General features: G+C 36.6%; 2 long non-coding RNA genes across 3 annotated transcripts in view; one reads left to right on the forward strand and one right to left on the reverse strand.

Moving 5' to 3' along the window:
* The window catches only part of LOC105378787 (uncharacterized), a 32,634-nt gene extending 27,320 nt beyond the window's left edge, over window positions 1-5,314 (forward strand). Inside the window, exon 7 of the long non-coding RNA XR_947486.2 lies at window positions 4,976-5,314. This is a non-coding gene — a long non-coding RNA (uncharacterized LOC105378787). The remainder of the gene's footprint in view (window positions 1-4,975) is intronic.
* LINC02791 (long intergenic non-protein coding RNA 2791) overlaps window positions 1-16,384 on the reverse strand; it is a 33,693-nt gene that overhangs the window by 8,541 nt on the left and 8,768 nt on the right. For both annotated transcript variants that reach the window (NR_183659.1, NR_183660.1), the window contains one exon: window positions 16,344-16,383. This is a non-coding gene — a long non-coding RNA (long intergenic non-protein coding RNA 2791). The remainder of the gene's footprint in view (window positions 1-16,343; window position 16,384) is intronic.

The raw sequence follows: 16,384 nt of genomic DNA on the forward strand, positions 1-16,384 counted from the left end.
TTCATATAATAAGGCTGTTGGGCTAAAAAATTTTTGAATTTCCTTTCATTTTTAATTTTTATTATTTAAAAAATCACATTGATGTTATGTACGCCAATATTTGCATGTGTTGCCAATTCAGAGCATTTGAGTTCAACCTAATATTCTGAGTACTGAATTACAAGGAACGCACTTTATTTTTCCTTTGAGAATTCAGAAGGCACTTTAACTTTTTTGGAGGCTCAGGGACACTTTTAGTCTTATCAGTTATCATTGTGCTGCAGAGCTGATTAAGTGTCAGTTAACAGAATTCTGGGTAACAGCTTATTGCATATATAGTCTCACCTTGTCTTTTGCTTCATCCTTTCCTGTGTCACATGGATCCTATCATTGACTCATCCATCTATTTATCCATCCATCCATCCATTCATCCATATATCCACCCATTTATCCATCCATCTATCCTTCACTTATTCATCAAGCATTGGAAATACTAGTATCTCAGAGCATTCTCTGTCTTTTTGCTGGAGACATAGATAGGGAGTCTCTCCTGACTCATAGAAGTCTCCCAAAGCAGGTTGCACAGAACAGGCCCTGGAGGTAAGCAGGTGCAGAGCTATTCAAAGAAGAGAAAATATATGAAGAAAATCTGAGGCATTGTAGTCAGAAGACTATTTTAGTCATAAACCCAGAGTGAACCTTAGGTTGAAACCATAAACATTGTGCTAAGCATCAGATTCAAAAAGAGGCTTTGGAGAAACTTAGGTGTACTGTCCATCCAGCCTGACTCAGCAAAAGAATTTAGGGTGAAGTCTTTATGTGAGGGGTGTTAACAGCCCACTTTTATGTTAGGAAAGTTTAAGAAAAAGATGCAGGACTGATAGCAAAAGGTAGTATGCGGTACCAGAATAAAACATGACTAAGTAATGAAGACCTTTCTATGATAAAGATATGATTAAGACATAGAGGAACAAATGCTGTCTTTCCTTTTCCTTTTTTTTTGGGACAGAGTCTGGCTCTGTGCAGTGGCATGATCTTGGCTCACTGCAACCTCCATCCCCCTGGTTCAAGCAATTCTACTGTCTCAGCCTCCTGAGTAGCTGTGATTACAGGCACATACTACCACGCCCGGCGAGATTTTGTAGTTTTAGTAGAGACAGGGTTTCGCCATGTTGGCCAGGCTGGTCTCAAACTCCTGACCTCAAGTGATCTGCCTGCCTCGGCCTCCCAAAGTGCTGGGATTACAGGCATGAGCCACTGCGTCTGGCATTTCCTTTCCCTTTATTCCTTCTTTTTCTATTCTCCTTCCCTTGCTGAGTCTATTCTTTTTGCTCACACAGCACAAAAAAAAAAAATGTGATACAATCCATGGTGATGAAATTCGGAATAAAAAACACATTTCCTTTTTAAAGCACATTATTGAGTTTAATCTAAATTAAACAACCCCTTTTCATTTAACTTCATTTTTAAGTTATATATCTAATTTTTTTCCCCAAAGACAGTTATTTTCCAGAAGTGACATTCTTGATACTTTCTCAATGGGTAGAAAACATTGCATTATATGATATTTTAAGTGCAACTTTCAGCACAGCAACATGGATGAGCACAATCAATTCAAGAAAGATAGCAAACTAGAAAAATGGTCTGCAATTTTTTTACTCTTTGGTACTTCAGCAGGTCAAGGGAAATAATAATTTGGCTTTATGTGTAGGGGTTCAGAATCAAAGCCACTGAAGCAGAACGAAGCCAGGCAATCAGAAGGAGATGCCTGTGGCTCCTACAGGAAGAAACTTTCCCTGCCAAAGAAAGAGGATCCTGACACTCACACCTGCCCCTCTATCAGACACTTAAGACAACTGGAGCAGTGGAACAGATGTGCCTAGAGATATCAAATAGATGTACTTGATAGGGGGAGCATAGAGCAGGTTGGCTTCAAGTTTTTGAGGAAAATAAGTTGCTGCAATTAATGGAATTGAGAAGGCTCATTATGTGGGACACTCCTTAGAGGATGTGGATCTTCATGAGAGAATTCTCTGCCAGAGCCTTAAGGATTTTTACCTTGCTCAAGAAGATTCTAAGTCTTGAAATTGATTTCTCTTCTAAAATAGGTTAGGCTTTCCCTCTTGCCTTGAAAAAAGATGTTTCTAGTAGTTATAACAGAGAGAAAGAGAAAAAGACATTTGTCTTCAACTCCAGGGCCTGTTTCTGAATTAAAAAGGAGTAGCTATGTTTTACTGATGGATCTTAAGACTAATTACTAAAGGGTAAGATGGCCTAAACTCTAGAGTGTTTTCACTCTTCCCTGTGGCCAGAATCCAATAATGTAGATATATATACCAAAGGACAGGAATGTCAATCACTTTGAAAAAGACATGACCACCTACCAAGTGCACAGTCTGGAAACATTCTCCCCTCTCTGGCATGATCCTATTGAGTGCAGAGTAGTATCCTTGAACCCAGCGTTTCATCTCAACATTGTAAAATAGCATTTCTGAGCTCAGTTACCCTCAGCTAAAACACTCTGATAATTCCTACTGAGTTTACAGTGTGGTGAAAAGATGAAATAGCACCCACATAACTATAGTTAAACTGTAACTTGCTATAAACTTTTATTAATCTAACTCTACTCTTGACCACTAAGTTGCTCAAGGGTAAGGATAATTATCACTGAATCCCCAGTACCTGGCATATTTTAAATATCAAATAAATACTTCTTAAAGTGAAATGTGAAAAATTATTTGTATGATTACTCTTCTTCTTACACATTTTTTTTTTTTTGTGGTCCTATGTCCTCATGTCCCTGCTGGTTCCTAGTACCTGCTGAACTAGTCTATCTCTACCACCCCTAATCCCACAAATATTGTACTCTAGAGCTTGTGCTACCCAATCTGTTAGCCACTACCACATGTACCTACAGAGCCCTTGAGATGCTGCTAGTGCAACTGAGAAACCAAATTTTTAACTTTAATTAAATTAAATTTTAAAACTGGCCCTACATTCAGTTATGGAGAACTTTTAAATGTATTTGAAACATCACAGATACATGCATCAACTTTTTCTCTACATATTATAAAAACTAAATGCAGATCAATTATTTCTGATGAAAATTTAGCATCCTAGTTATGCTATAATTCTAAAAAAAACATGAAAAAAGAATGTAAAAATTATAGTAATTAAACATTTTATAATGTAAAATCAATTTTGTAATGATTACATGTTAAAATGATATTAGTTTGAATATATTAGGTTAAAATATATTATTAAAATTAATTTCATCAACTCTCTTTTGCATATTAAAATGATATTAGTTTGAATATATTAGGTTAAAAATATATTAATAAAATTAATTTCATCAACTCTTTTTTGCATTTTGTTTACATTTCTAAATGTGGCTGCTAGAAAACTAAAAATTGCATATGTTTCTTATATTTTTATTGAACTTTGCTTCTTAAGAGAATCTCCACTGATGGCTACCTTGTGCTCTTCTTTCAATCAATACCCTGAACTTGAAACTCAATTTGAGACTATTTGAAGTAAGGACAATGATGATGATGATCACTGTAACAACAAAGATAGTGCCTTGAATTTATTACTTACATGGCATTCTAGAGTTTACAAAGCAATCTTACCTAGATCATTATATTAAACCTTACAATTCCCTGTGATGTACTATAAAATTTACTGAAGCTCAGAAGAGTCAAGAGACTTATCCTGTTATTGTGCTCATTTTTGGCAGGGCTTTTATTGGAACCCACATGTCCTGGTCCTAAAGGGCCTTTTCTACCCATCTCACTAGTCTTTCACTTTTGTATTGTCTGTGATTTCATTGAAGATATGCCATGTTGCTTATAATAGTGTGTTAAGCTTAATTACATACACTTGTAAAACATCTGTTGAGATCAATCATTGTACCATGCCAAATAGTGACCAATGATTAGAATTGATAGCTAGCCCATTATTGGATCATATTTGGAATGACTTCCCTTTTTCCCACAAATCAACAGCAACAAAGTTCAAGTCCTAGCACTAAAATTTTTCATAACTCTCTGGAGTGAATCTTTCATAACTCTCTGGAGTGAATCTTTCATAACTCTCTGGAGTGAATCTTTCATAACTCTCTGGAGTGAATCTTTCATTCAAGTGCTGTCAGAGCACCTAAATGACGGAGAACAGGAATTTCCTCCAGCTTACATGGCCATACATTCATCCTACATGGCCATAAGTGTAGCTGCCTGCTAGTGAATGATTGTCTGTGTTACAAAATTGAGTCTGAAACTTGTTTATGTGACTTGTTAATGTGTGGAAATTGCTAAGGGAAGTACAAAGATGTAGAGTCTTCTTGAGAGCCTTTCTGTATCATCTTTAGAAATAATTTGATGACCATATTCTGTAGCCAGCATCTCACAAGCTGGCAAGAATGAAAAAGGAAAAGAATTGCTATAAAGTAGGGCAACATATGATCAAAGCAGATTCCTTTAACTTGTGTCCAAGACCTCCCATGTGTTGGGAGATTTCATCATCTCATTTAATTTAAACATAAAATAGTCTCTTAAGAGAGATATTATTACCATTTTATAACTAGAGGCCAAGAGTGGAAAGTAGTAAGGGGTTCAGTCTTACACCTATTGCTATGGTTTGATATCTTTATTTTTCCTTCTGTCTAGAAATCTACCATTATGGTTCACTGCAATAAACACTAGGCTTTGAATCAGAATTCAATCCAAAATAGAGGGACTATACTTAGGATTATCAACACTCAAGATTCAGAAAGATTCAGAATGCTTAAGATTTAAATTCAGGCACAATATTCAATCTCTATCCAACATCATTGTACACTTTTTTCATTCATTCATTTATTCATTCATTCAACAAATGGTTGCTGATTGCCATAACCTATGTTAAATTATTGGATGTGATGAAGATAAATGAGATGCATCTGGAAAAGTACTTTATAAAACAACAAATACTTCAAAGTGTTTTTTCTATTTTTCACTAGTAATGATGGAATAGTCTGTGGTCGAGTGCAGAAATACTATTACCTGTTCCTGGAGGCAAAGATTAAAGGAATAGACACCTTCCTCAGCCAGAATGACCCAGGCCAGGAGCCACAGTGTCAACTTGGAAAATTTCTCCTTCCTCATCTCCACATCATGTCTGCAGCCTTAACTGCTTGACACCTGACAACTACTCTTATCTCCATTGTGTTGTTTTGTTTTGTGTCATGATCTTTTTGAATGTGCAATTGTAATGATCTCTTAACTTGTTTATTGACCCCAAACTTCACCTGCTTTCCACACTGCTGCCAGAGTCAGGACCCCTTAGTGTGGGCTAAAAGGTGATGATTTGTATCTCTAGCTGCTGTAAACCCCACCCACTCACCCCTGCATTCCAGATACGCTCAGACACTTTGCCAAACAAGTCAGATTGATTGAAATCTCCATGCCCTGATCATGTGTCTGCCTGTACTCAGAATGCCCTTTCTCTGGTTCTTCACCTAATGAGCTCTTACTGATCTTTCAAAAGTTATCTCATCAGCCACTTTTAGCTTTTATTTCCAAATCCGTTACCTCCAACACTTAGGTTAAATTGACCAACCTCTCATCCTTCTTTATTATCCTTAAATAAGTATAAAATATGATGTTACTATAGCACTACCAGTAAATACTTAGCTGCAGTTTTTAATTTACACAAGAGGCTCACCCTCCGAACTGTATGCTCCTTGGGATAGAGCACTGTGTGTTATTCATCCCTAATGCTTGGCATGAAGCAGGCACTCAGTTCATGTTTACTGAAAAAGTGAATTAATAATTATCTTGTTACTGCCTAAAATCTTTCAGTGGATGTCCGTTTTATATGAAATAAAGTCTGAATTCATTTCAAAGTGATACCAGGCCCTTCCTCCCAAGGTTCTTGCATAATATAGAGTCTCATCTCTTGCTGTGTCCACACAGTTATTCAAAATCCTATTATACTAAAATATAAGCAATTCTCCCAATGAGCCTTAGGGTTTCAGGGTTCCAGGCCTTGACTCATCTGAGTTCACAGTTGAATTATTTCAGGGTCTGGTTAGTCATGCTGTCCCTGCACTAAGGGCCAGATGAGAAAGGGCTTGTGGGAGCTCTTTGTTACCTACAGATCTAAAGAGAGTGGGTGTGCTGAAATGTAGGCCAACCTTTAAAAACAGAAACCTAAAATGTTTCTGGACCATTTTATATACCCTAGGTCTTGCCAATTCTGTCTCTTTCCAGCTGAAGTTCTCTAAAGCTCCCCTGCCCTCTACTCTCATACCCTACTTGGTGCTCAGGTCTTTTTCTGTGGATGCAAATGACTCTAGCTGTTTTCTAGCCCTGCCTATATTTGCATCACAAGGTTCTAACTGGAATCTTAGGATGCAAGTGTCACCCACTTTTATCACCCCATCTTGACTACTTTCCTGTCTTCATGACTACTTGATGGAAGCAGTATAGATAGGCCACTTTATTCCCCATTAAATGTGTGGGTGCTTGGAAATGAGAAGGTGTGCTTTCCAAGAGAAGAGATCGAGTGAGCTTTCTGCAAATCCCTTATAGCTAGTGAGTTCATTTGACGTTCCCTGCGCTGTGTAGGCTAAAGCTGGCACATAGCAGTACCAGCATTTCCTCTGCTGCTAGCATGCAATTAAAAGCTTTGTAAAGCATTTGGGAATATTTAGTTATGGGAAAAAATTACAAAAATGAAGGTTGCTTTTGTCTTTGTTCTTTAATCTAAGGTAGCTTGTTCCCTACCTTCATTTGGTAATCTTTCTTTCAAGTATTTATTGATCCCTAAGAAGCCTGAGTTGGACATTCAGGCAGGGAGATTTTGTTTTTCAGATTGGGAAATCTCTAATTATTGTATCAGCTGCAAGTGGAGCAATGGCTATTCATTATCCCATTTCTCGTTTCTGTTCTCTGATATTATCTGGTAGATCAGTAACAGGCTGCAGTTTTAGGTGAACTTAATTTCTAGCTGACTCTGCCTTTCCGAACCCCTCTTCACCTGCCCCTTTCTCTGAGCCAACTGTGGCAAAGTCAGAGACTATGTAAGAAACTCTATGTTTATCATGTGATGGGCTTTGGATTGTGTAATAAATAGGCCCAGTGTCTGGTGTGCCAATAGATACCCATTTGGTTAAGATCAAGTAGATTCCAAGTCACAGTTTTCTCTGCTCCCTGACTCCTACAGCATGTTGACACTTACTTCCAGAGGACAAGGCAGGCCTGTTCCATTTGCCTGATAAGACAATGATCTTTCCTGAAACCAACACGGCTGTGAAACCTGTGCAGCTCTTACCAGGTGATTATTTTCCTCTCTTTGATGTCTCCTTGATTTTCTACCAAAGGCTGTAAGATACATGACATTGTCCTGAGACCAACAACTAGATTATATTAGTTAACAGCCCTTCACATTGCCACACAGGCCAGATTTGACATTCTTGTCTCCATGTTCCCCAAGCAAAGGTGCTGACATCTGCCCAAACCGTGCCAGGGCTTGCATGTTGACTAGACTCAGTGTCACAGAGCCAGGCCCTGTCTCCTTTAATTCTAATGTCTTTCCTCAACTCATTGTCCTTGTTGCCAAGGCTTAAGCCTTGGCATATGCCATATAGTCCATATGCCATATAGTGAGGCCACTCCAGTTATGATAGGTATCACCTCAGAATAGTCATCTATTTTTTTCCATGGACAAATATATTCCTTTTTATATGTCATTTTCATGTTTAGTATTAAAAATACTAGCAGAGTGTTCCTCAAATTTGAAGACTTGAACATATTTATAACTGTGTTCAAAAATACTTTGAATTCTACTCATTATTTATTATCTTGTTGATTATTTTGTTGAAAAGACTAAGAGGCTACATATATATATATTTATACATATGTAATTAAGTACATATACATATTTAAGGCATATAGTACACAAATATATATAACATAAATATAATATATTTATACTATAATATTACCAATACAGGTAAGAACCTTCATTTTCACAAATTTTTAGTAAAGGAGAAGAACATAATTCAGTGTTAAATACACAGTAATATTATTTCATAAAAATTTTGGCTATTTCTTCAATTAAAAGACTATAATATTGAAAGCTTGACTTCAACACAGTATATATGAAATATAAAGTACAGCCAAAAATGTTTCAGTAATTCAAAGAAAAGAAAGCAATAGGACTAGCCTTTGCTTTACCACAGGAGACACAGACAAAATTTGTAGCCATGCTTAATTATATCCTTTGCATCAACTCAGCCTAGATTACATAATGAGAGTGATGCTCCCAACAGACAGACTATTTCATCTGGAAATAATAGTCTTCTATTCCACTACGTAAGAGGTATATCAGCTACCTGCTTATCTAGAAGGGCAAAGATTACCTCCATTTGCCAGTAGTCATAGGCCCACTACATTCTAAAAAATCAGATTGGAATTTTTTAAAGAACACTTTAGGTTTCAGTTGTTATCCTGGATAGTACATTATGTGTCATTTGGTGCAACAAAAAGATGACACTGTTCCCAAAACACACCTGAAATGGAGTTAATAAGGGAAGATGTTCAAAGTCATTATTTAATAACATGCTCCCTGGTAAAATGGCTAAACACACACACACATGCTTTTCTTGAAGTATAATTAGCCTTTTTAGACTACAATATCAGAGATGTTGTGTGGATGTAAGACACTGAACTTCTCTGAATCTCAGTTTCGACGTCTGTAATAAGGGGATTATAATGCCCATTTATTCACATAGCTATTATGCCAGTGGAGAACATATTAAAAACTTATAATGGCCTTTATAGGGCTACTAATAAGAATGTGACAGATAACAATCATTAAATAACTTTTATCTACTTCCCTATTCTCTTGCATATGAAATTTGAAGGGCTCTTGACAGTAGTTCTTTCTACAAGCAGACAGTGTCCCAAGGACAAGTCTGGTTTTGGTGGACATACCACTCTATTAACTTAGTCATCTAAATTAATCCTCCAGCCTGAATTGGCTTAAAACAATCTTGGCTGCTTTCACATTAGCTAATATGTTATATTATGCTATAATAATAATAATAATAATAATAATAATAATAATGGTTTTCATCTATTGATAATTGTGCATTATCTCTATACCTAAAAGCATTCCCAAAGGGTGAAAATTTATTCCCTTCATTTTGCAAATGAAAACTTTTAGGCACCATTAGATTAGAAGGCATATCCAAGCCTCTACCACTAGCACATGCCAAAGCTGGTAACCAAGCAGCTGTGCTGGCACTCAAGCATGGGCATTTCCATGACACCCCATGGCCTCTCTTTTGTTTTCTCATCTATCTACCTCAGCAGTCTATGAGACAGAACCTGCATTATATTCATGCTATTATCTTTACTGCAAGATACAATTCCAAGTGTAGAGTAAATCCTAAATAATTTCATGAAGGAAGAAAGTATTATTAAGCTCACCTAATCATGTCATTCATTTAAGCTTAATACATACCTTCAAAGATATTACAATAGGCCTATAAAATTCTCATTAGAAAACTATAATCCCAACAAGAAAGATTATTGTAGTTATAGTTACCTAAAATAAGTTCTAGGCTGTTCTCCTCAAGGAACTTGCAATATATTGGGAGACTCCATATGTATAATACTAAAGTATTCCAAAACTGAATATATTAAGCTAAGAGTGATGTAAAATGCTTTGGTTATGCATTGGATTCTGCTTTGGCTGATCAGAAAAGTACCCACAGGGAGGTGATATCTGACTTAGACTTTAAATGATGAGCACAATTTCAGTAGGTGACCATAGGACAAATGGCATTTTGAGCAGGGAGAGATGTATTAGCAAAACCAAAAGAGTAATTTGTATGCATGACAATTGTACTTAGAGCTAATTTAGGCTGAATCACAGACCTTCAAAAACTCCAGAAATGACTTAAGTTTGCTTCATTGAAAGCCAAACTAACCACAAAACTGAGCATTTATAATTCATGTTTAAGAGTAAGAAACAGTGGCTAACTTTTATCAAAAAGTTTACCTTTATCTCTGTCCTAGCAAGGCATGGCAGGGAAGAATCAGCTATTATCTTTGACTTGTATAGAACTAGCTGAGTGTGAATTAAATGAAAGAAGCAGTAAAAGATGAGCCCAAGGAGAAGGAAAGGAGCAAGATCAAAGAAATCCTTGAAGTGTTAATTGCAATCATTGAAAAAGAGGTAACAAGAAGCTGAGAGTAAGATGATCTGCTATAAATAGCATTTGAATGCACAATATTGGAAGGTCAGCAGATGGGACTCTAAGAGGTAAAAATTACATATAAATTCAGACTAAGAAATAAGACTGTGATAAATTCAGAGAAACACGACATCAGATGAATTCAGAATTAAGAGAGAAATTTTTACTTTGTGGGTTAAACCAGTTACGTAGAAAGAATATGGCTAAAACGAGCTCTCTGCAAAAGTAACTAAAGAATAAAATGGTTCCCCAAAGCAAGGAGAAAGGAGAATTTGTAGAAACAGAATCATAAGACCAGGATGTGATCCTAGGAAGGCAGGCCATAGTAAGGAAAATATATGAACTCTGGTATAAAGCATGTTGAATTTTGCATATTCTCTGTAGGTAGCTCTTACTGACTGTGTTACCTTAGACAAGTCACTTCACTTCCCTGAATATCCATTACTGCATCTGTATAGTTGCTGTAGTTACACCTGAGGAGGCAGGTGACCAGAGCGAGACTGCCTGGGTTCAATTTCAAGCTCTATGATTTACCATCTGTGAACCCTGAGCGAGGCAATTAATCACCTTGTGTCATTTTTTTTTCATCTGTAAAATGTAAATGATTTCCTATATGTCACATCGTTCATAAAAATCATTTCCAGGGGGTGAAAGTCAAAACTATAAAGCCTTTTGAAAGCAATATGGAATATCATCATTAAAAACTCAAGAATGAGTAGGATTTTTTTCAATGAGAAACATAGGCTATAAATCACAAAGAGAAAAACTGATAAATTTGACTGCATTAAAATTAATTACAAAGGATACAGTGAACAGAAAAAAGCCATAAAATGGGAGAAGATATCAGCAATTCATAGAAAACATGAAATCCTGTATTGCTGTTCAGGATAAAGTTAAAAAAAAAGAAAACCTTAGGGAAGAAAGAAGTTATTAACACATTCAAAATAATGGTTCAGTAAGATGGGACAGGAGAGGAAGGTGATGTGTGTTTTATTTCTTAAGAGGGATAGTGAATACTTAGGTGTTCATTTTATCATTATTCACATTTTATACATTCTTCTGTGAAGAGTACTCATTTCTCAGTGTATCTTTAAAAATGCAGATTGTAATAAGTACCTACTTCATAAGGTTGTTGTGAAAAGAGATAAGTGAGTTCCTTATGCCTGCAACATAGTAGGTATTTAAAAGTGTTAACTGTTATTATATTAAGACAATAATAACATTGTAGAAACTTAATAGAAGGTAGCTATTATTTTTAAGCTATTGTCTCATGAAAGAATATGTTAACAGAGAGAAAGTGGTCTGCATTCCACCAGAATACAAGAAAACCATCCAAGGGAAGGCCTGAAACTCACTTGGCATGTTTGACCCAACAGTGGAGGTGTTTATCACAGTATTAAAGGTCTATTATACTGGCCTTAACAATACCCCTTGCGGTCATGTTAAGTTCACATAATGACCCTATAGTTTCTCATATGGCTGTTCTCAGAAGAACAGAATGTGTAAATCAAATATTCTGCTCCTTTGGTGAATTTTATCTCATTTTATTTATTAATAGAAAAACATTTTTCTTTCAGTCTCTTGTGAGTAGAAGTCTTAGCTTCCTCACTTCAGAGAGCATCAATCAGAGTGTGTTTCTAGACTGATGAAGCAGAGGACTTCGGTCATGATCCAGCCTCAGGATAAAGCTTTGCCTGATCAGCCCAGCAGGCCCATCTCTGATCAGTCTCTAACTACAAAAAAATTGAAGAAAAAAAGTTTTGATAAGAGATTATGTTTAGGGTTCTTGTTAATGATATATGTCATCTCTTGAGATCATTTCAGTGTACTAGAATGGCCACCAGGCATTCTTTCTTGTGAAGAGCTCTCAAGTATTACTCAGAGAATGTAAGTGAGTTAACCACATAATGTAAGCAAGTTACATGCGTTGACTGCACCTGACCTAATGAGAACGATGCTCCCAACAGACTATTTCATCTAGTCATAATATTCTAGATTGTTAGAAATACTCTTATAGATTATTAACCACAGGAAAAGGGAAGGCCTGTGATAGCAAGTGGGTCCTGAAATGACGGAAAAGCACTAATCACCAAACCAAAGAAAGGAGTAGTTTTTTCATATGTTCGTTTTAGAAAGACATAAAATATCAGGAGAAAAGCCACAGCTATTATAAGAAGAGAATGAACACTAGGCTTGGACCAGAAATGCAAGAGAGAGAAGATTGCCTAGAGAGCATAGTACTTGCTCTGTGTACAACTTAGAGCATGAAACATGGAGTAAATCTACCTACTTCTGGGCTTTAGGTTTAGAAATAAACAAATGTTCAGAGGAACTACACATTTAGGTATCATTTGTACATGAATGGGATTACAGAATCCGGATTTGAATATCTATGCTCATATGTTGGTCAGTATTATAAAAAATGTGAAGTAATCCCCAAGGAAAGTGATACAGTTTATGTAAACAGATACTGTAGTAAAGCAAGAAACATTGTGTTTTCTGACCATAATATGATAGTAGTTGAAATTTATTTCAAAAGCTGGAAAATTTGACAGAGATAAATACAAGGAGATCAAATTCCCATTAGAACAGATAAATTGTTCTTAATAGCAAGCAGGTTGATAAATAGGAAAGAAGATTCTCTCTCCATTCAAAATATCCAGGAGTGGTAATACTTGGTGATAAATGATGTAAAAAAAAACTTGCAGAAGTAATAAGCCCCAAACTCTAAACATTTAAGCAGAAATTATGGGGGTCCTCCCATTAATTTTAATTATGAAGAAATTGGAGTGAAAGTTATACACAGCACCAAAAGTAAATGAGGCAAGTATGATAACTCCAAGTTGATGAGGAAAAAGAGAAGATAGATAGATAGATAGATAGATAGATAGATAGATACATAGATACATAGATACATAGATAGATGTACAGATACTAACAGAACCTTCATAGGGCATACAAGAGAACAAACATACAAAGAACATGTTAAAAAATAATGGATTAGAGAACAGTTTATTTTGGAATAGTTTTAGAAGACAAAGCACACAGAAAGAATCATTTATTCATTCCTTCATTGTTAGATAGTCATTTTACAAAAGCAGGATGAATCCACACCCAAATTTGCTTTGGATGTCAAGACCGATGGTGAACACACACACACACACACACACACACACACACCAAGAGAATATGAATAGATTTATTACTTATATAATAAGGTTTTTTTGAGAGAGCAGGGTAGACTTCCCAAGCTGGCCCACAATTGGCTTCACAGAACAAGAAAAGGAGACTGGCTTGGAGTTTTAAATTGTGGTTACGCTTGGGGCTGGGGCAAAGATCTTGATTTGAATGTTTTACCTGCATCAAAGGAGAGAGCAGCTGAGCTTCCTAATTAGTTTGCCCAGATATTTGGGAGAGGGTGATGGGCCCTAGATGTGCAGCATGGAATGAAGCTGATATATTTTTCTGACTGCAACAGGAAGGTATTGGAGCATTGGGAGATTTTGAGCAATCAGAATATGATCTGATTTACATGTTTAAAAGCTGAATTCCTTTGCTTCTGTATTGAGAATAAATGGAGGGAACAAGATTAAAAGCAGAGACATTAACTGGAAGGATTCTGAAGCAATCCAGGTTGTTTTTACTTGGCAAGTAGCAATGAAGGTGGTAGCAAGAGGTTAAATTTAAAATATATTTTAAGAATAAAACTGACTTGACTTGGTGACAGATTGCATTTAAAGTATGGGGGAAAAAAAGGAGCATAGAATGATTCCTAAGTGTAAGCTTTGGTCAAGTAGGTGAATGGTGGTTCCATTTAATGAAATGGAGAAGACGGCGGTTGGAAGCAACAGAAGTTGTGTTGGGACATGTTAAGTTTCAGATACCAGTGAGACATCTAAGTGGGGAAGTCAGTTACGTATTTTGGTATACCAGAGGCAATACACTAAGAATTCCATACATTTTAATGTCATCATTGGGTAAAGACCAATCAAAAATTATGATTTGTCAATACATGTAAAAAACACAATGTTTTCTCATGTGTGTAAGCTGTTTGAATGTCTTCTTTTGAGAAGTGTTGGTTCATGTCCTTTGCCCATTTTTAAATTTTTTATTATTATTATTATTTTTTTGGAGACACAGTCTCACTCTGTTGCCCAGGCTGGAGTGCAGTGGTGTGATCTCGGCTCACTGCAAGCTCTGCCTCCCAGGTTCACGCCATTCTCCTACCTCAGCCTCCCGAGTAGCTGGGACTACAGGTGCCCGCCACCACACCCAGCTAATTTTTTGTATTTTTAGTAGAGACAGGGTTTCACGTGTTAGCCAGGATGGTCTTGATCTCCTGACCTCATGATCTGCCTGCCTCAGCCTCCCAAAGTGCTGGGATTGCAGGTGTATTATTATTATTATTATTATTATTATTATTATTATTATTATTATTATTATTTTGAGATGGAGTCTCACTCTGTCACCAGGTTGGAGTGCAGTGGTGCAATCTCGGCCCACTGCAACCTCTGACTCCCTAGTTCAATCTATTCTCCTGCCTCAGCCTCCCGAGTAGCTGGGATTACAGGCATGTGCCACCAGGCCCAGCTAATTTTTATATTTTTAGTAGAGACGGGGTTTCACTATGTTGGCCAGGATGGTCTCAGTCTCCTGACCTCTTGACCCGTCCGCCTCGGCCTCCCAAAGTGCTGGGATTACAGGTGTGAGCCAACACGCCCAGCCAAGGTTATTTATTTTTTGCTTGTTGATTTAAGTTCCTTATAGATTCTGGGTATTAGACATTTGTCAGATGCATAGTTTGTAAATATTTTCGGCTTTTCTGTAGGCTGTTTATTGTGTTGATAATTTCTTTTGCTGTACAGAACATCTTTAGTTGGCCCCACTTATCAATTTTTGTTTTTGTTGCAGTTGCTTTTGAGGACTTAGCCAAAGATTCTTTGCCAAGCCCAGTGTTGAGGAGGGTGTTTTCTAGGTTTTCTTTTAGGATTTTTATAGTTTGAGTCTTATGTTTAAATCTTTAATTCATCTTGAGTTAATTTTTGTAAATGGTGAAAGGTAAGGGTCTAATGCTTATTATCACTAATCAACAGAGAAATGCAAATCAACCACAATGAGATACCATCTCATACCAGTCAGAATGGTTATTATTAAAAAGTAAAAAACAACAGATGCTGGTGAGGATGTGGAAAAAAGAGAACACTCATACATTGTTAGTGGGAATGTAAATTAGTTCAGCCACTGTGGAAAGCAATTTGGAGATTTCTCAAATAACTTAACGCAGCAATCTCATTACTGGGTATATACCCAAAGGAAAATAGATCGTTACACCAAAAAGATGCCTGCTCCTAAGTTTCTTGTCACACTATTCACAATAGCAAAGACTAGGTACCCATCAATGGGGAATTGGATAAAGAAAATGTGGCACATATTAGTATATATTATAGAGTACTACACAACCATAAGAAAAGAATGAAATCATGTCCTTTGCAGCAACATAGATGGAGCTGCAGGCCATATCCTAAGTGAATTAAAAAAGGAACAGAAAACCAAATACTGCATGTTCTCACTTATAAGTGAGAGCTAAACATTGAGCACACATGGACATTAACAGGAACAAGAGACACTACAGACTGCTAGAGGCGGGAGGCAGGGATGACATGGGTTGAAAAACTACCTATTGGGTACTATGCTCACTACCTTGATGCGATATACCCATGTGGCAAACCTGCACATATACCCCTTGTATCTAAAACTAAAGTTGAAATTAAAAACAAAAAAGTCAGGTACTTTAATTTACTTCAGCAACAGTAATCAACAAACATCATGAATTTGTTCAAAAGAAAGAATTCCTAGGATGAAGCTAAAATCCCTACTCAGGTTCATTAGCCAATAAGTGGAGGAAAAGCCTCTGTGATGCCACGCGATCTGATTGAGATCATTTCTGAGTTCTCTCAAACATCTGAGAACGGCTTTGAGCCAACTCTTGGCTGCACTTTTAACGGCATGTGGGTCAAAGATGTAATGACCAGCATGATGAAACAAGAGATGTCAATAATAGTATTCAAACAAAGGAAAAAAGAGAAGATTTTATAAAGTAGAGGCAAGAAGGCTTACTTACCATTGACTACATCATTTGGGGGTGGCATCTTGTTCACAGTC

The sequence above is a fragment of the Homo sapiens genome, chromosome 1 (assembly GCF_000001405.40).
Source record: "Homo sapiens chromosome 1, GRCh38.p14 Primary Assembly".
In the NCBI taxonomy this organism is placed as follows: domain Eukaryota; kingdom Metazoa; phylum Chordata; class Mammalia; order Primates; family Hominidae; genus Homo; species Homo sapiens.